Genomic DNA, 25,526 nt, shown 5'->3' on the forward strand with positions numbered 1-25,526 from the left:
CCATTAGTTATTTCTCTTGATCCTCTCCCTCCTCCCACTCTCCACCTTCTACCCTCCAATAGGCCCCAGTGTGTGCTGTTCCCCTCTATGTGTCCATGTGTTCTCATCACTTAGCTCTCACTCATAAGTGAGAACATGCAGTATTGGGTTTTCTGTTTCTGCGTTAGCTTGCCAAGGATAATTGCCTCCAGCTCCATATTCCTGCAAAAGACATAATTTTGTTCCTTTATATGGTTGCATAGTATTCCATGGTGTATATGTACCGCATTATCTTTAGCCAGTCTATCATTGATGAGCACTTAGGTTGATTCCATGTCTTCGCTCTTAACATTTTTAAACAGTCTCTGAGTAGAATAGGGTAGGCTGGTGTAAGGAATTACTGTTTTTAATTGGAAGCAATTACATACTGCATTAAAAAGCATATATATATAGACACACATATATATGTTTTACATTCACATAATCAAACCAAAGCTTTCAGAATTTTCCGCCAAAAAGCATGTGTGGAGGGAGAGAGAGGGGTGTTATGGTGCATTTGTAGGCCCTGAAATAAAGTGATCTCCATATTTGCTTCCATTTGTGTATAAATATTTTTTAAGCATATATGCATCCTAGAGTATGGAAAGAAAATTTCTGGGAAGATTTGCAAGAATCTGTGGCAGTTGAGAGTAGGTTCACTTTCGCTTTATTGTGTAATTTATTGTATTTTTCATTTAATTGTACTTTGTAAACTAAATATTTATTGTATATTTTACTTCATTTTTTAATTGCCATATGCAGCTTTAATTTTATAACTAAATTACGTTCTGACCCAGGGCAGGAGGTGGGAGAAGAGAATGAGAGAAGGGCGGAATCCTCAAGACAGCAGCATTCTGCGCTCCGCCCTGGAACACCCAGCGCAGCTACCCCATCCCGCCCAGGCCGGCCACCTGGCGTCGAAGCCAGGCGCGAGGGGCGGAGGCGGAGGCGGGGGCGGGGGCGGAGGCGGAGGCGGAGGCGGAGGCGGAGGCGGAGGCGGAGGCGGAGGCGGAGGCGAGCACCGCCCCACCGCGCACGCTGCGGTTGCCCCGGCAGCCGCGCCCTGCGTGGCGGAAGCTCACAATCAGCCCGGTCCCTCCGGCTTCCACCCCGCCCCCTGCGCTCACCTGCCCGCGCGCTCGCCTTCCGGGGACCCGGGGCCCATGGACACATACACCCAGCCCTGCTGTCCCGCGCGCCAGCTCACCAGCCCTACCCAAGGGACATCATTCACGCCTGGGCGCCTCCGCCGGGCTCCGGGAGCCCAAGGTCGCGGCTGGGCCAGCGCTGAGCGTCAGAGGACGAGAGCAGGGGCCTCCCCGGTCGCCCCAGCAGGCCCAGGCACATAGGTGCCCAGAGATCCCTGGCTTCTGATCGCCCGGAAGACTAAGAGGTGAGCATGACACATGGCTTTTCCTTTGACGTTACATCTCTACCCCCTCCACTCCTCTCTTCTCCAGATTTTTCTGGAGACTAAAAAGTGGAAAGCACAGTAGAGAACCCCCAACATGTAAACTATCGCTTACACTTGTGGGTGAGCTGAAACCCGCAAAAGTTTGGTGTATTCATAAGGAGCCTATATTGAAGGACTTTGCTAAATGTTTTACAAGGATCATATCTCATTTCCTTTTCACACAGTCCCATGAAGTGGGCACCATTGCTATTGCCAGTTCACAGATGCAGAAACTGAGGTAAAAACTAGGTAGGTAGCATATCCATATTTATATCCAACTAGTTTGTGTAAATAATGATACAGGGAAGGGAGGATCACAACGGATTTCCCCACCTCAAACCCTACATTCCACTGTACCAAGCTTGTCTTCCTCCATTCCTCTTTCTAATGATCCTTCCTTGTCGCACAGCCCCCCTTTGAGAGTTAAATGACCTGAACACACACAGATTCCCACAGATTTTCATGTAATTTCCGAGTATTCAGACCCCGAACATGGACCTCAAGTCAAGACATTCTGCTCTATTCCACTACCTTGGTAGATGGTTAGATGTGACTAAGGTGGCCCAGGGTCATGCTGGGGAAAAGTACAGGTGTGCTTGTATGTGGAGGATCCTATATGCTGCTCAATTTACAAGGAACCCAGGACCCAAGGGCTACACTTGTGTGATTTCCTGCAGTGGGGTGAGCTCTTGGTCAGTCTTAGCAGTTGATTGTGAAGGACACTATACAGGGTGCTGCCCTCTCCCCAGCACTTCAGGGCTTTAGCTGGGAGGGAGGCAGTCCACAGGAAACCGACCCATGGACCTACTGAATTCATCACTGTAGCTGCTAATTAATTCTCCGTTAGAGATGGGTGCTAACAGAGGCAACATTGAAGTCCCTGATTGGGAAATCCTTATTTTCACAAATCAAGTGGCATTGATTCAGTCTAATCATTACCTATGTAGGAGCATCTTGCCCTATTCCATAGATGACACATATACATATGCAGTATGATGACACCGCACCTAATCGGAATATGGCCGATAATAATAAAACAAGCCATAAATAGCAGCTAAGGTGAGTGTCACCAAGCCGTGCAGCAAAGTCCAAGTGGATGACTCTGAGGCAGCCTCAGTTGGTTCCCTAGTCCACCGCATGTTATAAACAGATTAAAAGGCAAAGGAGGCCTGGCCCGGTGGCTCACGCCTGTAGTCCCAACACTTTGGGAGGCTGAGGCGGGTGGATCACCTGAGGTCAAGAGTTCAAGATCAGCCTGGCCAACATGGTGAAACCCTGTCTTTACTAAAAATACAAAAATTAGCCAGGTGTGGTGGTGGGCACCTGTAATCCCAGCTACTCGGGAGGCTGAGGCAGGAGAATCGCTTGAACCCAGGAGGTGGAGGTTGCAGTGAGCCGAGATTGTGCCACTACACTCCAGCCTGGGTGACAGAGTGAGAGTTGGGCTGAGGGTCGAGGGTCATGGGATAGGGCGAGACACCAGGGGAGTGTGTGAGGACAGAAAAGAGTCTTGAGGACCTAGCCCTGGGCACCCAACATAGGCTTCTTGAAATGGGGAGTCAGCAAAGGAGCCTGAGCAGGAGGGGGCATTGGTGTTGGATGGAAGCAGGCGATGGAGATGTTGTGGTGCCTAGAGAGACACATTTAAAGGAGAGAGAGCTCACTGCCGTAGAGAATGTAGGTGAGGGAGCAGGCTTGCGATGGAGAAAAATGGTGCATAGTTTCAACTTTTGTAGTAAGATGGAATCTTTTCATTGCAAATGTTGGAAACTTAGCTAACTAGCTTATACCAAAATAAGGTGACGGGGGAGAAGATGTATTTACCCACAAAGTGGTAGATGGCTTCTGGCACCATGGAATCCATGTTGCAACTAATGCCATCAATCTCAGTCTCTCTCCATCCTCCAAGCATGGACTCTCTCTGTGGCACCCAAGAGAGCTACCTGCGCCCCAGCCCCACACCATACTGCTTAACAACTTCAGCAGAATAGTCTTCCCTCATAGTTCTGGATGATGGGCTGCTGATTGGTTGATGTCTTTTATGCACATATGCTTGAGCTTCAGTGTACCTGGAAAGGGATGGTTCCCTCAAATGGGCCAAGCCTAGGCCACAGACGCTTTCCTCTGGCAGGGGACAGAAGGGACAGCCCCATCCAAACGACCCGGATAGGATTCCCTATGTGATAATGGAGTTCTTTTCTCATAAGAAATGAAGAAACAACTGGTCATACCTAGCATGGCCTGCTACTCAATCCAAAAGATTTTCCGTACAAGGAGGTAAAATTACATACTAGAATGCCCATCACAATTTAACAGGGAGATTGTTTATGAAGATTTGCAGTTTCCTTGCAGCCATTTAACTACATCTTTTCCACTTAAGATGACATAGGAATCACTCATCACATCTCTGATATGTTACAGAGCCCAGTAGATTTGTTTATAATGAACACCTCAAAATTATATGTTTTTATAACACCTTAAAACTATTAAAACCTGCATGATCTCTCTATTTTGCTGGTGTGAAACCATGTAGATAGATGGTGGGAACTCAAACCCTTACCATGGCAATTTAGTTAACCTCAGCTTCTTCATGGTAAAATGGTAAAGTGTGATGAGGAGGGAAGGTTAAATGGATAATAAGAAAACCACCTGGCAAACTATTTTTAATTATGATGGAAGATTTGTTTGAACTGTTTTAACTTTATGCCCACTCAATATTTTTGATATTTATGTATAAATCCTACTTTCTGAACATTTCTTAAAAAACAATCTCTGTTCTTAAGGAAGTTCCAAAATATTGTTATTTAATCAAAATGAAGATGATAAAATTAACTTTGAGTTATTTTTCTTTTTTGTTGCTTCAGCTTTAGTTTTGGTCCAGAAAGCATTTTCAAGGAGCTGGTCAAGCATGGCTTTAGCAGATAAGAGACTTGAGAACTTACAGATCTACAAAGTTCTTCAATGTGTGCGGAACAAAGACAAGAAGCAGATAGAGAAGCTGACCAAGCTTGGATACCCTGAACTAATCAATTATACAGAACCCATTAATGGACTTAGTGCTTTGCACTTAGCCTCAGTTTCCAATGATATTGATATGGTCAGCTTTCTCCTTGACCTTGGTGCTCACCCTGATGTGCAAGACCGAATGGGCTGTACTCCCACAATGAGGGCTGCAGAACTGGGCCATGAATTGTCAATGGAAATATTAGCAAAGGCAAAGGCTGATATGACTATAGTTGATAATGAAGGAAAAGGTAAAAATCCCGACATCCTCTCCAGCAGATTGCAATTCATTTTGTAGCCAGAAAGCAATAACATGGACTCTTTTTGTTTTCCAACTTTAGAAGTGAATTACTTATGGTTTTAAGGGAAAGGCTAAATTCTCACTCCTATACCTAAACCTACTGTCTCCTCATACTTTGAAAATGAGATAGCTATATCTTAGGGAAATCATTTATGAGAGCTTGCTCATATACTTAGATTAATTTGTGTTTGGTGGTTTCTTTTAAATGAGGAGAATTTTGAACATTATACACACTGATTATTCATTATAAATTATAAACTCTTCTTTAAAACAAAGATGAAGTAGAGCATTTCTTATTCTTTTTTACATTTTAGAATTTCAGGCAGTACTACACCTAGGACTCCAAAAGGATTTTGACCCCCTCAATAGCAGTCTGATGTAGGAAGGACTTGCACTTGGAAACTTGAAAGGACTAAAGTCAATTCTGGCATAAACTCCAACTTTCTAGGATCATTTAAAAATGTATTTGGAAATACAACTTCAAACTTTAGACATGACCTTTCAACAATGATTCAGATCAAACAACTGCACTTCCACACCGTTAATCCCATCATCTCAAGACCATGGTCTGAGGACTTCTTGCCCAAATAACTTAAGGTTCAGGCAAGAATTGACACAGCCTCATAAAAATAACTGAGATAATTACCAATAAGCTTAATGTAAACTGATAGGTTTGAGCAGTTGTCCTGAGTTTCTGCAGATACAAGGCCATTAACATCAGCTCTGCAATCGAGAAATGAATCTCATTTGATAATGTGAATATTTACTGACAAGAGCAAAATCTACTTTTCTAACTCTCTCCAGACTTGGTGTTTGATATGATTACTTGCTTAGAACAAAAGAGGACAAAGAAAAGGGATAATTACATATTTAATTGTACCACGTAAGAAAATAAACTTCAGATGCATTCAGGGGCCAGATGTACTTTGAAATGCTAAATCCTGAAAAAACGGTATCCTCTCAAAGCTCTATAGTATACCATTTCCCAAAGTGTGTTCCATGGACCACTGAATTGCCAGGATGTTGAGAAGTACTACAGGCAAAATTGGTTCCACGGTCGCATTCATTAGAGACACATTTTAGGCATTTATCTTTCACATTGTTGGCTCAAAAATGGTGACATTTTCCATATTTATTTGACCACAAAATAATTTTTTTTAATGACATCTTATATGCCTGGAGTTTTGTGGACTAACCTTTGGGAAACACTATAATAGAGAAACGTTTAACTTACTGAGTTTGAAACAGATACAAATCACAAAGAAAAAAGAAATTCTATAGTGTAACAATGTAAAAGTGTAAATTTTTTTTAAAAAATCAAGGTAAAATTGGAAACAAGGTCAAGTAAATACTTGCAGCAAATGCAACAGGCATATGGCTAAAGGAAACAAATCTCATGGGCAGAACTGAAACTATAAAAGGAAACAAATGTAAAATCTTGTTTCACACATAAGCTTGTTAGGATGGCTGCCTGCAGCCCTCACTCTGCATAACCCAAGGTAGTGCCCATTGTACAGAGTACATTGTCTCTTCCCACATCAACAAGGCTCACTCAGCTTGCACATCCCTCAGTTTGGCTGCCAGTGGCCAAAGTGCTTTGCTTATTCCACAGTACCCTCTCTGTCATTGACATCCTATTTTCTGGTGACTCATGTTTGACTCACTGTACATCGTTCCTAAAGGATAAGCAAACATTTAAATGGCTAAGTGGGTCTTTAGGATGTGAGACATGCCCTAGGCCTAAGCGGCACTTTCTCTTGGAACAGTTTTACAGAATATGGAGAAGGTAAAGCTCTAAGCCAATACATTCTTTCTTGTATGTTGTCCTAGGGAATTAATTACAATGTGGAATCATTCTCCTTAAAAGTTAAGCTATAATAGTTCCTTATAGCACCCATTCCCATTCCATTGGTTTTTGCATTTACAGGCATGTGTACTCAGTCCTCAATGCCGTATGCCAGTTCTATGATAAGGTACAATATTTTTCAAACTGTTTTCCCTTCAATTTAGGAATGCTGATTCGTGTTCTTTGTGGCTTAAGGAGTCAGCCCAGATACACTTTAACTGTGTGTTGCACATGCCATCATTATGAAATATTCATTTCATAAGTGGCTCTGGGCCTTTTGTAATGAATTCAGCCTCCTCGGGTATTATGCTTAGGTTGTTTTGCTGTTGCTGTTGTTGTTTTGCTCTGTTCCTGCCTTCTATGTCTTGCTCTTTCTTTGACTTTCTCTTTTCAATAATAACCTTGACAATCTTTTCTTTTTTTTTTTAACTGTTCTGAGTAACCCTACTTTAGGTACATCAGTTTATATAAAATATATTTAGGTTTTGATTTTCATATACATTTTATTTTTTATTTTAATGGTGGAATTTATCCAATTTATAGTTATCTAGATTTCCCATAGGGTTGGTTTCAGAAACATCATTTATTTTATATTGTGAAGGCAAAATATATCTAATATATAAAATACATGTGAAAGTATTGTCATATATGGTCCATAGATTTGTTTTACTTTGCTGTATATGTGTGTTTTTCTTTATATGCTTGTAAGTGTATTTTCTAAAATTGATGGGCTTTTTAGTTATTTTAGTTTTTTTATTTTTTTTTAGTTATTTTAATGGTTAACTTGATACTTCATATGCCCTTAAACCTGTTTATTGAGTTAGCATCTTAAACAGTATTCATTGATTCTTTACTCTGTTTAGTAAGATTAGTACAATAGTATAAATTAGATAAGATTAGTACAATAACCCTTCCTCTTACCTCTGCTACTTCCCTTCTACCACTCAATTTTATACTCAATTATAATTACTTAGTTCTTTCAATGATTCCCTTTTAAATAATAAGTACCTTGTACTTTATTTCCTTACCTGCTTTACATAATATCTCAGTCTTAGCCCTAAAAGATGAGAAGATCAAATACTTATACTATTTCTCCTTCCTTCCCTCAAATTTTTGATAAATTATATTATTTTTACATTATTACAAATTGCAATATATTTTTCTCTATCTAAAATTGCTAAGGTGACTTAGCTTTGGTTCTGTGGCTAAAGAGATTCAGTATTTATGACTGTTCTTTTAGTCACATATTCTCTATTGATCTCTTGGAAAACTCACTTTTGCCATCAAGTAGTTTAAGTCACTTCTTTGGGCTTGTATCCCTGATTACTTATATCCTTAAGACTATACATGTCTGTTGTTTTTACATGAACAAAGTCTTGATTGGGTATAAAAGTTTCCTGTTTTTTTTCCCCAAGTTATAGTGTAGAGATCCTTTGATTATACTGTAGCATTGAATGTTGTTGTGATAAATTTTTGAGGGCAGCTGGACTTTTCCCCTTCATGGATTAGTTGAATTTTTGCCTGGATTCTTATGAGACACTTTCTTTGCCTAGCTTTACCTAGGCATGCCTTGTTGACTGTTCTTAATCAACTTTTCCTAAGACCCAACGTACCCTTTTAATCTTAAGATTCAGGTCTATCTTTGCACTTTCATTTTAGAACAAGTTATATTTAGTTTCTTTGCTATCATGGAAATGAATTAGCCAGTAATTTTCACTGGTATATCTTTTCTAGTATGTATCCTTTTTGCGTGGCTTTCAGTATCAGTTTCCTTTTTCCTTGCAGTATTTTTTTTTAATAGGTTGCATAGTGGTTTCTTTTTTGGTTATTCTTTGAATGGAGTCCCTTTTTTGGAATGAACTCGTTACAAAGTCAGTTTGGAGTCTGATTGTTATTTACCTAGGACTTTCTTAGTAACACTCTGCCCTGGGTTTATAACAGTAACCCTGATGTGTAGTATGCTTTTGACATGGATTATATTGAAGGCCTGTATGTTACAGGTCCTGGGTGTAGGGATTTAGCATGTTCCTTTCTCCAACGGAACAAAATGATTTGCTAAAATGGCAGAGGCACTTGCCATCTAATTAGCCACTTGGCATCTAATTCACCTCTTTACTGCTATACCGACAGCCTGCTTCTTACAAACATGGTCAGTCTACACATTTCATCACCCAGTACCATCTCTTTTGCCATTCTGCAGTTTTAGAGGGGACCGGGGGACTTACCAGTAGCCCTTTGGCACACATAGCTGTAGCCCTTCACATTCCAAGAAGGGACACTCAGGGTACGTATTGCAAGATGCCAAATACTCAGGGTCAACAGGGTTCACCTATCAGCGCTCCAATTCTTCCATAAGCCAGGTCCTATCATATGTGGTTGTGACTGTTTTCTAACGATGTCAGGAATTAAGATTTTTTGTTTTTTGTTTTCTGTCTTGGTGTTTTAGTTGGTTTCAGAGAGGAAACTGAGGCAGATATGCCTTTAACTAGCTAAATATGGATTTTTAATAATTTTACTTTCCTTCCTGTCAAATATGTATAGATGTTAAATACTCTCTGGGGATTTTATTTCTCTGCAGGTGTTTTGTTTTACTGCATTTTACCGACTAAGCGGCATTATCGCTGTGCTCTGATCGCCCTTGAACATGGTGCAGATGTCAACAATTCTACCTATGAAGGAAAGCCAATATTCCTTAGAGCTTGTGAAGATGCACATGATGTTAAAGATGTGTGCCTGACATTTTTGGAAAAAGGAGCCAATCCTAATGCAATCAACTCAGTATGGCTATTCTTGTGATTACAAATATTTCTTGTTTCAATTACAGCATAGTATAATCTTTTCATTTAAATATGATGACATTATCCTGTTAGCTGATAGACTGTTCATTTTGATTCAAAATGCTTGAAGATGGTATACGTTTATTATCTTCATATTGCTGTGATTCTACAGTCTGTTTCCTAATTATGTTTGGAAACTTGGTATTTATTATGCATAATGTCAAGGTACCATTATAGGAAATAGTAAAAAAAGGCATTGCTGATGCCTAATAGGATTTATCTTCTTAGAAAGAAAATATATAGTTCTGCTGTTTCTTTTCTTTTTCTTTTCCTTTTTTTTTTTTTTTTTTTTTTTGGAGACAGCGTCTCACTCTGTTGCCCAGGTTGGAGTGCAGTGGTCCAATCTTGGCTCACTGCAACCTCTGCCTCTCAGGTTCAAGCAATTCTCCTGCCTCAGCCTCCCGAGTAGCTGGGATTACAGGTGCATGCCACCATGCCCCGCTAATTATTTTTTGTATTTTTAGTAGAGACAGGGTTTTACCATGTTGGCCAGGCTGATTTCGAATTCTTGGCCTCAAGTGATCTGCCCACCTCTGCCTTCCAAAGCGCTGGGATTACAGGCATGCCCAGCCTAGTTCTGTTGTTATATCAATTTCGTTCACTCTCCTTATTTTGAGTTTTCTTGTAATTGCCCTTTCTTGACACTAAACATTGATTTTCTTCTCATTATAAAACACCTATGACCTAATTTTATATTAGGTGTTGATATTTTATCTCTCTTTCTCCCTTTTTATTCTGCTCTATTTGCAAGAAATACATTTTTTAGCATGATATTCTCACAGGGGCATGCAGTGTGACCTTGACTCTGATTTTAGAATTCTACGTTTTGGATACTGACCCATTGTACTTGCTTAATTTTTCCTCTTTGTTACATGAAGCTAAGAAAAATGTAGAGAACTAAACTTGTAAGTGTAAAGCTAAGGTCAAATGGATTCAGACTGTATTTGTACTGATTCTGCTACTTAATATGATGGGTATAAACAGCATCTCATATTGGACTATTTCATGTCCAGTCCACAGGCCGCACAGCTTTAATGGAAGCGTCAAGAGAAGGGGTAGTGGAAATAGTTCGAGGCATATTGGAAAGAGGAGGTGAAGTGAATGCATTTGACAACGACAGGCATCACGCTGCTCATTTTGCTGCTAAAGGAGGCTTTTTCGATGTAATAATCTATTCTTTGCTTTAAAATTTGTTGCTAAAACTTTTCTGTCCTTTTTCTCAAATTTTTTTATATGTCATATAGAGTACGCTAAGGCAGACATTTTTCTGAGTTACCTATGTTGTTTTCATCTTGATTTCCCCAAATAATTCTAAAATTATATTTTTAAAAACTTCATCTCTTTATTTAGTTTTATGTGTTTGCTAATTTACTTATTTAATATTATTCATAGTATTTTTCTGTACACTCGATGATAACAATTTAAAACTTCTGCCACCTGGGACTACTGTATTTTATGACTTCATTACATACTAGAGTCTTCAAAATATAATATGATCTAATTATGGGAGAACAATGCCCTCATACTCTTATCTCCATGGTGTTTGTGTGTATTAGATAATGATATACCTGAATTTTAAACTCAAGTATTCTGATTATCTAAACATACAGCAAAGAATATCTCACTGATACAGTAACATTGCAGAAACAAAATAAAAACACTATTTTTTTAAATTCTGAATTTCATCTGAAATTTCTTTACTCAATTTCTTTGAGTTTTAACATAGTTATCTTCATTTATATCACTATTTTCCGTGCAATAAAAGTATACACAAAGATAGAAACCACGTTTGGTAAAGAATTTTCCCCTTGGATGCTGTTTTCCATGCTCTGATGCTTTCTTAAATTACCTACACTAACAAAAATGGTAGTGCCCCCTCTAAGTATAGAGTTTTCTATACTCTAGATCGATGCTATTTAATAGAACTTTTGGTGATGATGGGCATATTCTATGTTTGTGCTATACAACACAGTACAACACAATGGCCATGTGGCTTTTGAGTACTTTAAATGTGGCTAGTGAAACAAACAAATGAAACTTAAATATTTTCAGTTTAGTTCATTTCAATTTGAATTTTCAATAGTCATACGTGGCTAATTGATATTGTACTGGATAGTGCCGGTCTAGCTGTCAGTCTTTATATAGTAAATGTACATTCCTATTCCTCCACAATATCCACTATTTATTTTACAGATATTGAAGCTTCTTTTTGCCTACAATGGAGACGTGGGGCTGATTTCGATAAATGGGAACACACCACTTCATTATGCTGCCATGGGTGGTTTTGCAGACTGCTGTAAATATATAGCTCAGCGAGGTAAAATTGTCTAGCAATTTTGTGCTTCAAGTACTTATGATTTACCCATGTCATAGATAAGCAGAGAATTTGGGCCTATCACTTGTCAGTGGCTTATTTTTTTCTATAGCAAAACCTCACTCATATGTAGAAAGAAAATTGAAAATTATTTCTTATACTACCCTCTGTTAAATCATGAATCTGCGCTTAAAAGTGATGAAAACCCATTTGTCCAAAAATTTTAGGTTATTGTTAAAAACCTAAAGGGGATTGTTCCTGAGCCAACTAATTATTCAAATACTTATGGTTGAGGGCGGGGTGTGGTGGCTCATGCCTGTAATCCCAGCACTTTGGGAGGCTGAAGCAGGTGGATCACTTGAGGTCAGGAGGTCAACACCAGCCTGGCCAACAAGGCAAAACCGCGCCTCTACTAACAATGCAAAAAAAAATTAGCCAGGGGTGGTGACGGCGCCTGTAATCCCAGTTACTTGGGAGGCTAAGGCACAAGAATCACTTGAACCTGGGAGGCAAAGGTTGCAGTGATCCAAGATCTGTGTCTCAAAAAACAAACAAACAACAACAAAAAACTTACAGTTGATTAAGTTCCTTATTTTAAAAATGCCAACATCAATCTAAAAAAGGACACACACTGGAAACCATTTGCTTTCATTTGAATTTTTAGTTTATTTTAAAAAATGTTCCATTGTGTCAAATGCAAAGATAACTTTTCTGGATAATTTGCAGTTATGGGGAAAATAATTTGGGGGAAAACATGAAATGAAAATTTTCATGGAAAATTTGAAATGTAAGCAGAATTTTTAATTTTAGATTTTCCTGTAGCTTTTAAGTATTAATTTAGAAATATGAACTATATCATATATAGCTTAATGAGTTTCTTAAAATGAAAATATTAATTATATTTAAGGATATGTATTTTTTGTTAATTACATGCTAATTAAATGCACATTAAAAGCTTTTTAACTCTGTTAGAGATAGAACTGCATTTTGCAGAACTGTATATATTTTTTCTAGTTTATGAGAAATAGGCAAAAACTTAAAGTTCACCAACTCTATAATAGAGCAAAGAAAGTGTTTTATTTTTCTGTCTTTCACACAGACACAAAATTTTAGAAGTCACTAAAATTATAAATAAAACTAACATGCCCGCATAACTATAATAGCATAATAACATCCATTTTTACTTGTATGAATGTATACTTTCCCTATGTCCCCAGTGTGATAAACCCTTTTAGCAAATGAGAAAAAAATATATCAAATGCAATTCTGGTTCTCTCAAACTGTCTTAATTGGTTTTGTTTTCAAATCTGTCTCTATTAGCAGTTTATTCTGACATTTCAGATTTAACATTATGTATTTCTAAAAACTAAAGATCCACTCAAGTTGAGACGAATTTCTTTAACTTTAATATGTTGACTTATTTCTTATTGGGACAAATATCACACATACGCTATCATTTATGTATTCCTGGAATAAAGTCACAGAAAGCACATTGAGAAGCCAAGGACCAGAGCCTGGGTCATGCAAAAAGGCCTAACTCAGTGATGCAGAAAAGATCCATTTTCCTAGAAGAATCAATCATGAGACTATTTTAAAGCAAATGTTTGAAAATGTTCTGAGTTCTGTGCATGTTCGGAAATATAAACACGTCACCAGATCCTATGTGGGTGACCCAGTTTCACAGCAGAAGTGTTGTCAGTTACATTTCTACCTTTAGAATCTTACATCTAAGGCAATCAGAGCAGGAAGAAACCCTTAGTGATCAAATGCTTGTTTCTGAATAAGCTCCCTGGGCTTAGTCTCTTCTGTACTTAATTGTAAAGCATTTGTGCTGGCTGGATTCATTTCTCACATTTCCTCATGATGGTCCTCTTTCGCCCCCTCGTCCCCCTGCTGGAGCAATTGGCAACTCCCTGTAAGCATGTGAGAGCCACATCCAAGGGCAGAGGAGAGGAGCTCGTGGAGTCCTCCTCCTCCTCTTCCTGGGCCCTCAACTCCCTGAGTTCTGCAGCACCAGCCAGCTGGAAGTTGAACAACTTTACCACAGAGGAGCATAAGTCTCACAAGGAATGAATAGATCTTTATTTACTAATCATAAAGGAGGAGACAGAAAGCTCCAAGTCAAAACGACAGGAAAACTGCCTTTAGCTCTTTAAAGTGGGATGTTGGAGTCTTTTATACACATGGAAGTTTCTAACTAGGATTAAGCTGGAAGCTGCAGAGGGTAAGCTAAAACAGGATGAAAATCCTTTGGTCCTTAGTGCTGGGTGAACATAGAAGAAGAGGCTTGAGAGGTGGGATCAAAACCCCCCAGACACCCTGAGTAAGCAAAATAAATAGCTAAGTAAAAACAGCATATCAGAATTAGTATGGAATTGCACTATGGAATTACTACGCTATGGAATTACACTATAGAGTCACTGTTCTTAAAACTATCCAATATAGAAATTTTATAACCTTTATTGTCCCCATAGTCTTTTTTAGTTTTTCTACTACTAGTAAAATTATCAGCCTTAGTATAAAAATGTGTGTGTGTGTGTGTGTGTTTGTGTAGTAAAATAGATTTATTTTTCTTTTTTTACTTTTTATTTTTTTGATAGTAAGTATATATATTTGTGGAGTATGTTAAATGTTTTGATATAGGAATACCATGCTTAATAATCACATCCTCTAGAATGGGGTATCCATCCCCTCAAGCATTTATTCTTTGTGTTACAAATAATCCAATTACGCTCTTTTAGCTATTTAAAAACATACAATTGTTATTGATTGTAGTCACCCTGTTGTGCTATCAAATAGTAGGTGTTATTCATTCTTTCTATTTTTTTACCCATCGTATACAATTTTAATTTTTGGCAATACTAAGGAAAGTATTAATCTTGAAAAACATGGTCTGACTGCTTCTTCAAAGTCTTACTTATACATATACTTATTATAGACAACACAGCCTTTTTGGTAGCACTAAATGGATTCCCTAACATGTTCAAAAAAGTTTATTTCTTTGGTGAATATTTATAAATGATGTTGGAATCATCATTTTGTTAAATAAGGGACCAAAAAGGAAAATGAATTTTAATGTCTAACTTGCACATAAATATAATGCTGAACTCCTCAGATTTAATTACAATTACTTTTTCCTCTGTGAAGGTTGTTCATATGGCCATACCACAAAACAGCAGATTAGTATAAATTACATTATTTAATGAAGAATACGGAAAAAATATACTTAAAATTATACACAGATTTACAGTTTAAATCATTCAAAAGGAAGTGGGTATTCTGCATCTTTTCAGGTTCAGATCTGAGTTCATAAGGTCCTAGGTAAGCTGTTTGAATCCAGCTTCTTTCCAAATTTAAATGTATCCTTGCTCTTTTCCTGTTGGCCTGAAGTCCCCTGAGCAAGTGTACCAATATGGTGTGTGTTTCAAATATCTCTAGGGATAAATGTTCTAATCCTATTGTAAATTGTAAACGTATCTTCTTCAGAATTCACCAAAGTGATGCTCACAGAAAAAAAAAATCACAGCTCAATTTTGTAATTATAACAGCAAAATGTGCACATCTCTATATACATATAATTTGGGGACACATTTTTTACTAATCACGAGAAATTAAGAAAACAGTTGGATGAGTGTCACTTATAGCCATGCAAATGCCTTGGCACCATTCATAATTAATGATGCTTTATGTTTTAGGATGTGACCTGAAATGGAAGAATTTAGATCATAAAACGCCCAGGGCTGTGGCTAAGGAAGGCGGCTTCAAAGCAGCAAGCAAAGAAATACGCCGAGCAGAGAGAATCGCTAATAAACTAGCCAGGCCAGGAGCCAAAAATCCAAATCCACTGTGGGCCCTTAGACTGCACGATTGGTCCGTAGAACGTGAGGCTTTCCTCCGGGAAGCCTTTGCGGTTTTAGACAGGGGTGATGGAAGCATCAGCAAGAACGACTTCGTGATGGTGTTGGAGGAAAGGCAGGATTATGCAAGCTCAGAACAGCTGGCTGCCATCGCTCACCTTCATGAGAAAACCCGGGGAGGAGGGGTCAATATTAATGAATTCTTTAAAGGAACCAGATATTTAAACAAGTCTTTTGTCTTAGGATCGTATGGACCTAAGAAAAAGGAAAAAGGGATGGGCAAAAAAGGAAAGAAAGGGAAATTTGTCTTACCCCTTCCAATCTGTGTCATTCCTGAGTACGCGTTTCCACGCCGGCAGGATGGTGGGCCACCGTATTACATGATTGAGACCTACAAGAATGTCACTGATAGCAGCCGGTTTAATAGAGATCATCCCCCAGAACATCCCATTCAGGATGACTCTGTTTGGTACATTGATGATTCAGAGAAGGTATTTTCAAACATTAATATTATCACCAAAGCAGGGGATCTGGCTTCTCTGAAAAAGGCCTTTGAATCAGGAATACCTGTGGATATGAAGGATAATTATTACAAAACTCCGCTAATGACGGCGTGTGCAAGTGGAAACATAGATGTGGTCAAGTTTCTTCTTGAAAAAGGGTACGCGTCTCCGTCGGGTGTGGCCTAAATTTTCACGAGTCTTCACATTTCAAGGAAGTGAAAAGATGACCGAATTTTAGTAATATAGAAAAGTGCTACTTTATTAAAGTCTATAATAAGGCTTTAATATATAAAAGCCTTTTATTAACAATTAACTTATAGGCTTCATTAAAGAATGTTATTAAAGAATGCTTTATTAAAAATGCTGATTTATTACAGGCTTTATTAAAGTCTAACAAATGCCCTATAAAAGTATGTGTTCATATTACTGATGGCTAGGGTTAGAAAAGGAGAATTTATGTTAGATTTATGTTATGTTAGATTCCTAGCCCCTTTATTAAAGCCTATAATAAATTAATTAAGCCTATAGATCTTATATGGGAAACCAGGATAATGGGAGCATAGGATTGTGTGTGCACAAATATATTTTGCCAATAGCAATTATGCATGAAGTGAAGGCCAGTAAGTGTTTACTCAGGGTGAATAGAGTCTTCTGATTATTACTGGCCTTCTATCAGTGGCAGCACGGCTCAGTCCTGTCTCAGAGCTTCACCTAGATGGTGTGGAGTCACTTTTTAATCTGCCTCTATTTGAGGATCTCAACAACTTCAAACAAGTGGAATGGTGGCTATAATAACATGCTTTGGTCCCAAAACCTGCTGCCCTCCTCCAGTGTGGGGCATCCTTTTCCTTGGTCATGTAAATATTTTTAAAATATCAAATCATGAGAGTTTTATAATACTTAACTTTTTAGACTACAACAATCACTCAGGTTTAATTCCTTCTTCTACCATAGTTGTATAACCTGGGTGAGTTTCTTAATATTTTTGTGCCTCAGTTCTGTCATGTATGTAATGAGACTGTAGTGGGACTCATGCCACAAGATTAGTTGAAGATTAGATGAGTTAAAATATGTAAAGCTCTTGTTAACACAGTAGTTACATACTTGAGAAATAAAGTACTAATCTTATTAGTACTTTAATGTTAAAGAAAGACTCAAATTTGTATATTATCAAGAGAGCAACTAATGAGAATATGAACTTCTGGACAGTGAATTTCTAAAAAGGACTAAAATGTTAAATAATACATGGTAATATTTATAATTTATTAATGAAGTTTCATTTAAAAATGTATTACATGCAGAGAAAGTCACAAAATGAAATATGTCCTGTCAGCTTTTATCTTCATTGGATCTGATTTTATAATTTTCCTTGATTTTAACCTTTGCAAATCGTAATCCCTAGAATCTAAAGTGCCTTTTAATGTAGATATACACAAAGAAAGTTAAGACTGTCAAATAATGCAGAACAAAGAGGTTTGAAGAAAAATTATGGCACAAAGTTTACAATTTAGCAACTTGATAGAACTCTATGAAATCTTACTTTGCATTTTTAGTGTCCAGTCATTGGAAAACCGTATTTTTAGTTTGTTCATCTATCTTATTTTACAGAGCTAACGTTAATGCAACAGATAACTTTCTGTGGACTCCACTTCATTTTGCATGCCATGCAGGCCAACAAGACATTGTTGAGCTTCTTGTTGAATCTGGAGCTTTAATAGATGCAGCTTCAATCAACAACTCAACTCCTTTAAATAGAGCCATTGAAAGCTGCAGACTGGATACAGTAAAATACCTACTTGATATTGGTGCTAAATTCCAGCTGGAAAATAGAAAAGGTATGCGTTCATATTATTGATGATTAGGGTTAGAAAAGGAGAACTTATGTTAGATTCTAAGCCCCTTCTGATTCTATTCTCGTAGGCTTGCATTGTCCACTGGGTTCCTGGTACAAACACAAGCCTGAGTTAAATGTTATGGAAGTTTATCTTATACCAAGTGCTTCTCCACTCATTGGTGTTGGAGGGCCAATTCTTTATGTTTATAATCTTTCATGGACTGAAATACTTTTGTAAAATATAATAAAATTATTTATTAGAAAAATAAAATGAAAAAAATACAAGGCCAAAACTTTGTTTTTAATCTTTAAATTTTAATGACAGAAAATTATATTAAGTTGCTAAAAACATTTATAAATACTTAGTTTCTGTAGTTACTTCATTATGGATCAGTAACTATTAGTCTGTGGACTTGCACCAGTTTGCAGATGACACTGAGTTATTACACTGTTATGACTGTTAATTACTAATAATTGCATACCCTATAGACTTTGGGTTTCTCTTAAAGCTGGACAAAGCAATTCCTGAATTGAGGCTTCCCTGACTCTAGGAAGTAAACACACAACCTACCTTGTATCATAAATACCATACAGGAAAAATTAAAAAATCATTTGAATATATTTGAGCTCCTTGTTTGGAAGTACCATTTTCCTACATTGGAAGCCATTGCTTCCTTTGACTGAGGAGCATCATACCTCTGGTTGGTTCAGGCTGCCTCTGAGTCACAGATACTACTGCACCTGTCCTGCCTGATGATATTATAGGTAACATATTGCCCAGCCATCTGCCTGGAGCACCTGTGGCCACTAGCTTCCCCAGACCTTTTGGAATTTACCTCCTTACATCAAGGAAAGGGGAAGATAATGTAAAATTATCTATCACATAGAAGGAAATTTGCACAATGTGGGGAGAGAATAATCAATTTGATATTTAAGATGTAATATAATATTTCCTATCACTCTTTTAAGAAACATAGTAAAAAAAAAACTAAGGAAAAGTAATTTTCTGTATTTAGATGGCACTATAAATCATGGGATCTTAAAGCTGGGACCGCCATAGAGAAAATCTGATCTAGCTCTGTGAACTTCTGTATATATACCCCTTGCTTTAGGAATCACCCTTATTAGGGCAGGCTTAGAGCTGATGTGCTGAGATATTTTTCTACATGGTTTATCATTAATATGTTTATAGTCACTCTGAATTTATGTTTATGTTTCAACAGGGCATAGTGCCATGGACGTTGCAAAGGCATATGCTGATTATAGAATAATTGATCTGATTAAAGAAAAGCTAGATAACTTGCCGAAACCAGCAGAAAATCAAAAACTAAAAGGCAAGACACCTCCTATACTGAAGACTGAAGGCCCTGAAATTAAGAAAGAAGAGGTAAGAAAAATGGTTGACTACCCATTAGTAACTGGAACTCTTTAAAAATCTGTTTGGGGGAAGGCAGAAGCACTATTTACATATTGTTATACAACATGGGTAAGATAATATGCAGTGCATACTTTCAATAGCATTATTATATAGTACTTTTAAAGAAATATCTAATAAAATTCTTATCACTGAAGAGCCTAAAAAGTACTCACTGCAAAGAGAATCCATACAAAAACCAAATGGGTTCAGCCAAATACAATTAGAATGTTGAAAAAGAAAACCAAAACTGGTGTTGGATTTGTATATATTTGGTCCTGAATTATACAGATTTGATGAGATGGTCCAAATAGGGAAGGAGATTAACCCTTATGAGGAGTGAAGTAAAGCATGATTTTTCTTCATTTTGGTCTCATTACCACCATATCCCCTTTCATTGCCCACCACTTCCCCTTCCTCCCACCTGCCGCCTCCACCAAGGAATTTTAATGAATACCACTGAATTCTGGGATACGGAGCCATTGTCTCTAGAATATCCTGCAAAATGGTTGTAGGTTTTCAACGTTTCTGGTAATCCGGAGTGATTTGGAACTTCTAAACTGCAGTGGAAGGTTGAAGTTGTTGCCCATGGGAGTTACTGAGACATCAAGACTTTATCATTAGCAGGAAACCCCTAAGTGTGTCTCTAGATTGGAAGCTTTTCTTAAGGGAGCAGAATATCTACTGGAGACTCTTGGCTGACACAGGACAAGAGATGAAAGTCAAGAAGGAAAAGTTTTAGTGTCATCAAATTGGAAAGCATTGGGGAAATGTAGGTGGTAGGGAGTAGATAGGATGAAGGGATTGTAGACAGACAGCAGACTTATAAACATGGAGGATGTTAGAATGGCAAAAGGTGAAGGAGGATCAGTCAACTAAAGTTCTTCCATTGTCATTTTAGTAGGCCACAGATCAAGGATGGGTATCTCAAAGACTTACGTGATCTTCTACCAATACTTCTAATTAAAGTTAAACAAGGCAAACTATCTCTCCCCATCCCCAAAGTTATAATAATATACTATTTTATCTCAAATTATAACTTGTACAGTAGCATTTTTAGGTTTCTTTCTGGCTTCAGAGTAAGATGTGAAACAGCAAATAATATTAGAAAATCAGTATAGATTTTTACAATTTATAATTTTTTTGTTCTTGTTTCCAGGAACTGCTGTCATCAATTTATGGTGTACCAACCACATCAGAGGGAAAGAAAGTACAGAAGGGTAATGTGGTTCATCTGAATTCATTGATTACCAGTGGTTATACTAAGAAAGTGGATATCACATTTATTCCACGGAGGGTAAGTGCTTCGAAAAGATCTTCATAGCATGGTAGAAGCTCATAATGTCATTTTTTCAAAAGCTTTTTATGTAGAATATCCAAACAAATCTGCACAGTTTGTCTTTCATAGTTACTACTTGTGAATGTTCTTTTGCCAGGTTCTGGTACTTTCAACTCAGTATGCCCAAGTGATAGCTCCCGGCATCTAGTTCTCTTTCTATTACTATTTCTGTATTGAGATTTACATTTTCCTAGAAAGGTTGAAGTCTTTCTGAATCAATGGCATGATCTGCAGCTGTTTAATCACTAACTCCTAAGGATACTTTTTTTTGGTACTTCTCAGACCCAACCCTTCTTTGTACTTAACTACTACCAGCTCATGCAGGAGTTTCATATAAATCAAGACTGGATTTATTCAGTAGCTTCCGAAAACCTCCACAACTAAAGAGGTGGAGACATCTTTTGGAGAAAAGAGTTGTCTTTCCATTGGCCATCCAACCAGGCTGAACAAGCAGCTCCCCTCGCCTTCTATTATAAAAATAATTTTGACTTCTACATAAGACATATAGGTAGTAAACCTAGATGATCTTCTAATTCCTTTGCTTCCCTGTTTTGGCATCCTAAAAAACGCACAGCAGCTGGTCTGAGCATAACTGGCCAGAGAAGTAACTGAATAATATTTCCGACATTATTTGTCTAGACAGTCATCATCAAAAACAGTGATGCTCGTGCAACCACTAGTGTCATATGAGAGGGGGGGAAGAAGTTAAAACACATCTAAAAGTAAATTTAATAGTTTTAAGTTAAAACTATAAACAAATTTTTAAGTTAAAACTGTGTATTGAAAATTGTCTGGATATTAGCATATTTACTGGCTGTCATACTCATACCTGCTGGGGTATGGCTATTTTTCTTTTTAAGATTTGGAGTCCTGAAGCCACAACAGCAGAGCTGATCAGGAAGAGGGAACTACGGCGAGAGAGGTTTACACATGAGGTGGACTTCGACGATTTTATGATGCCTTTTCAGAAGAACATCACAGAGAAAGCTCGAGCACTGGAAGCTGCCTTGAAGACCTAAGTCATAGCAGTTATTTCTTGGGGTAAATGCTTTGAGGCCCAGGGACCAATCTTTGGAGAAAGTAGATATTTCCATCAAAGCCAAAGCAATCCATACACCAAGAACTTGTTACCAAGAATTTCTTTTTGCTTTAACAACTATAAATATTCTTAGCTGTCTAGAGAAAAGATGTATGTTATTTTGAAATGAATGGTATGTCATTCTGGATAAATCCCCAAGCCCCTTTATGAATGTAGTGAAATACATGGCATGTGGGTTATAAACGTTGCTGTCAAAAGATTTACCAGGTCTACACCATTATGCTTATTATTTTTTTAATTATCCTTTTTATTTATTAAATAGAGACAGAGTCTCACTATATTGCCCCAGCTGGTCTCGAACTCTTGAGCTCAGGCAGTCCTCCCAACTTGGCCGTCGAAAGTGCTGGGATTATAGGCATGAGCTACTGTGCCCAGCCTGCTTATTGAAGATACATTTCTAGTGGAAATTGATGAAACAATTTAGGTTTTGGAAAAAGAAGTAATATTTAATCTTTTAAGGAAGGAGTTTATTTCTCACATGCCATTATAAACTATGTGTATTAGATACCTTGGGTTGAATACACTTTTAACAGCCCTAGATCGATAGCCCTAGCCCTAGATAGATAGCCCTAGCCCTAGATAGATAGCTATTAGGTTGGTGCAAAAGTAATTGTGGTTTTTGCCATAACCTTTAATTGCAGCAAAAACCGCAATTACTTTTGCTCCAACCTGACAGCTAGGTATCTAGCTAGCTAGAAAGGCAGATAGACAGATATATAGATGATAGATAGATAGATGATAGATAGATAGATAGATGATAGATAGATAGATAGATAGATAGATAGATAGATAGATAGAGATTTATTGCAAATAATTGGTTTACATAATTTTGGGCCCCAGATGGTTAAGTGCTAAATTTGTAGGGTAGGCTATCAGGAAGTGCAGGCTGGAAACATGCAGGAGCTGTCCCTGAAGTCCACAAGTGGAATTTCTTCTTCATCATGGAAACCTCAGTTTTGTTCATACACCTAAATACTTCAGTATGTCTTTCCTAAAATAAAAGGCATCCATTTACCTAACCAGATTACGATTGTGAAAATTTCAACTGTTGTTAAAGCGACTGATGGGATCAGTTTCACCTAGATTATCTAAAGCAGTCTCCTTTACATAAAGTCAATGAATTGTAAATATTGGTTGCATGTACACAATTCCTTCACCACAACACCTAAGATTAGTATTTGATTGAGTTACTGGGTGCTACAACCTAGCCAAGTTGAGTCATAAAACTGACCATCTCTGGAGGTGTACTCTGCAGTAAAAAGCTAGCTGAGGCATTATTCACACCAAGAAATGCAGTGGGTACCGAACAGGAGCTCCAAAAATATCCAACGTCTCATTGACAGAAAGAAGCCACTTTAGAATCTGCCTTACCAGAAGGCACCAATTGCAGATTACAGCTCTGTCAGTCACGTATGGATTAAACCCCTTTCCTCTAACCTCCTCCCTCTCTTTCCAACCTTGGAGGGACCTTCCACAGGAGCCAGTTAGGGAGGAGAAGGGAAGAGAGAGAATGAAGCAGGTAACCAGGCCCACCCCTCTGGAGGAGACAGACCTGAACAGGGGTTGCTTACAAGCATTGCATTTGGATCCCAAGATTTGCTATTACAACTAAATTTTGTCTGTTTTGTAAGGTTTTGGTTGGTTTTTTTGTTCTCTCTTTTCTTTTTGTTTTGACATAATTTCATATTTATGGAAAAGTTGCAATAATTTGACAAAGAATTCTTATATGCCCTTTACCCAGATTACCTAAATGTTAACCACTTACCACATTTGCTCTATCTCTTTCTCCCTCTACATATATGCATATGTATGTTTAATTTTTGTCCCCGAACTATCTGTGTGTCCGTTGAAGACATGATGAAGACATGATGTTCTTCACATGATGTTTTCATATTTGTGTGTCAGTTGAAGACATGATGTTTTAAATATTTCATTGTGTATTTCCTAAAATCACGATGTTCTTTTGCATAACAATATTACCATTGGCAAACTAAGGAAATTAACACTTAAGTGAACTATTTAATCTATAGACCTTATTCAGATTTTGCTATTTATCCCAATAATTTCCTTTGTACTCCCAGGTCATGAAATACATTCGCTTGCCCCATCTCTTTAGTCTCTTTTAGTTTAGAACAACCTGTATTTCTTGTTTGTTTGTTTGTTTGTTTGTTTATGACAGTATATAAGAAGAACACAAGCCACTTTTATCTTGTAAAATGTCTCTCAACTTTGGTTTGTCTTAAATGTCTTCAAGAATAGATTCAGGTGATGCTTTTGGGGCAGCAGTGCTACAGATGTCATTGCACCCTTCTCAGTACATCATATCAGGAGGCACATGATGTTGATACCTGATATAAACTTTAACTGCATTTGCAGTTGAGAGAAATGTAAATAAAAGTAAAGCTGCAGTAATAAATCATAACTGCATAAAATTAACTGTAGTACATACTGTACAACTGTAATAATTTCATAGCCACCTCCTGTTGCTATTGTGTTGAGTTCAATTGTTGTCTTTTCTCAAGCTTACTTTATTGCACAAATACAGTATTTATAACATACAAAATACGTGTTAATTGATTATGCTATGGGTAAGGCTTTTGGTCAACAGTAAGTTATTAGTATCTAAGTTTTTTGGGAGGCAAAACTTATACATGGATTTTTTTATTGTAAGGAGAGTTGGTGCCGGTAACTCTCTAGTAGTTTTCCTTGTACTTAATGAATATCTGATAGATAGATACTTTGAAACTATGGAAATTTCCTTCTACTTTCATACTTTCACCTACTAATTTTAGCATCCATGGATGATTCTCGCCTAAAATAATTATTACAGTGACAGTTGCCATAAAATAATTTCTACATTTTATCATTCTTTCCATTTCTTACTTGGCCTTCTGCTGTTGGGCAGAGCTTTCTTTTCTTCCTTATTAATTTATGTACTCAAATCAGTACAGACTCATGCATTCCCTTTTTATTTAATGCGAATTATATATGTGTGGGGACCAACTCAGAACTCCAGAGTTGGTATAAAGATTATTTTAAGCCAAAGACATTTGAGATTTAACATACCATATGCAGGGGAAAAAAAAGTCTTCTCAGACCTTTGCTTATCTGACTACAAGCAGTAACTTCTAGGAAATAAGGCTGCCATAAATTCCTCTTCAGGTTTGATCTACTTCTAGAACACAAGTAATCCTACCCCAAATCCCTTCTCCAGAAGTGTTGTATGGCCCCGAAGGAAATTTAAGGACCATTTATACCTGTATAGATAAACATTATCACGTACTTTTTTATCTCCTGTTTGTTCACCTGAAAACTCATGTATCTTTGTAAAAAGTCATTGTGTTTACATAAATGTCTTCTCCCCCTCCCCTTTGCTTATCAAGATGATTATAAGCCACCGATTTTAACTATCCCTTTCAGTTACTCATCACTGAGTTCTCCCAAGTGTATATGCCTTGCATGCATAAACTTGTTTTCTCCTGTTAAAATGCCTTTTGTCAGTTTAATTCACAGGCTCCAGGCATTGAACCTAAGAGGGTAGAGGAAAAGTTAATCCTCCCCTATGTGATCCTTTACTCTCATTATTAATTTTGATGCTCAAATTGTCCCTGATTTAACTAGGGGAAAACCCTTCAAGTTGGCTCCTGATAAAAAGACATTTTGTTTTCTAAAACAATCAGAGGACTCTTTATTTCTTGAATGTGAGGG

The 25,526-nt window shown here is 37.5% G+C and overlaps 1 protein-coding gene and 1 long non-coding RNA gene across 6 annotated transcripts in view, besides 3 other annotated features; one reads left to right on the forward strand and one right to left on the reverse strand.

Annotated features, from left to right (window-relative positions):
* SNAP25-AS1 (SNAP25 antisense RNA 1) overlaps nucleotides 1–25,526 on the reverse strand; it is a 195,695-nt gene that overhangs the window by 10,111 nt on the left and 160,058 nt on the right. The window lies entirely within an intron of this gene.
* Nucleotides 856–1,405: a silencer, noted in NCBI's record as "silent region_12670". NCBI's record gives its function as "represses an Ori minimal core promoter by ATAC-STARR-seq in GM12878 lymphoblastoid cells {active_cell/tissue: GM12878}" and the evidence as "EXISTENCE:reporter gene assay evidence [ECO:0000049][PMID:35858748]".
* Nucleotides 1,065–24,381, forward strand: ANKEF1 (ankyrin repeat and EF-hand domain containing 1). Of its 5 annotated transcripts, none has more exons than XM_047440367.1 (11): nucleotides 1,065–1,411; nucleotides 1,657–1,720; nucleotides 4,336–6,748; nucleotides 9,200–9,399; nucleotides 10,472–10,621; nucleotides 11,652–11,775; nucleotides 15,468–16,290; nucleotides 17,741–17,967; nucleotides 19,190–19,353; nucleotides 20,540–20,677; nucleotides 21,580–24,381. In XM_047440367.1, exons 5-11 carry the CDS (start codon nucleotides 10,493–10,495, stop codon nucleotides 21,736–21,738), a joined length of 1,764 nt encoding a protein of 587 aa, XP_047296323.1. In that variant the 5' UTR covers nucleotides 1,065–1,411; nucleotides 1,657–1,720; nucleotides 4,336–6,748; nucleotides 9,200–9,399; nucleotides 10,472–10,492; the 3' UTR covers nucleotides 21,739–24,381. The 5 variants fall into 5 exon arrangements, with proteins under 5 accessions (XP_047296323.1, NP_071379.3, NP_001290401.1 ...); NM_022096.6 differs by having other exon boundaries at nucleotides 4,336–4,725; NM_001303472.2 differs by lacking the exon at nucleotides 1,657–1,720 and having other exon boundaries at nucleotides 4,336–4,725; nucleotides 6,703–6,748.
* Nucleotides 13,601–13,793: a silencer, noted in NCBI's record as "fragment chr20:10028171-10028363 (GRCh37/hg19 assembly coordinates)". NCBI's record gives its function as "represses an EF-1alpha promoter that drives an FKBP-Casp9 reporter gene in an ReSE screen in K562 erythroleukemia cells {active_cell/tissue: K562}" and the evidence as "EXISTENCE:reporter gene assay evidence [ECO:0000049][PMID:32094911]".
* Nucleotides 15,044–16,243: an enhancer, noted in NCBI's record as "CDK7 strongly-dependent group 2 enhancer chr20:10029614-10030813 (GRCh37/hg19 assembly coordinates)". NCBI's record gives its function as "activates an origin of replication core promoter dependent on BRD2, BRD4, P300/CBP, MED14 and CDK7 cofactors, with strong dependence on CDK7, by STARR-seq in HCT116 cells {active_cell/tissue: HCT116}" and the evidence as "EXISTENCE:reporter gene assay evidence [ECO:0000049][PMID:35650434]".

Source organism: Homo sapiens, chromosome 20 (genome assembly GCF_000001405.40).
Source record: "Homo sapiens chromosome 20, GRCh38.p14 Primary Assembly".
Lineage (NCBI taxonomy): Eukaryota > Metazoa > Chordata > Mammalia > Primates > Hominidae > Homo > Homo sapiens.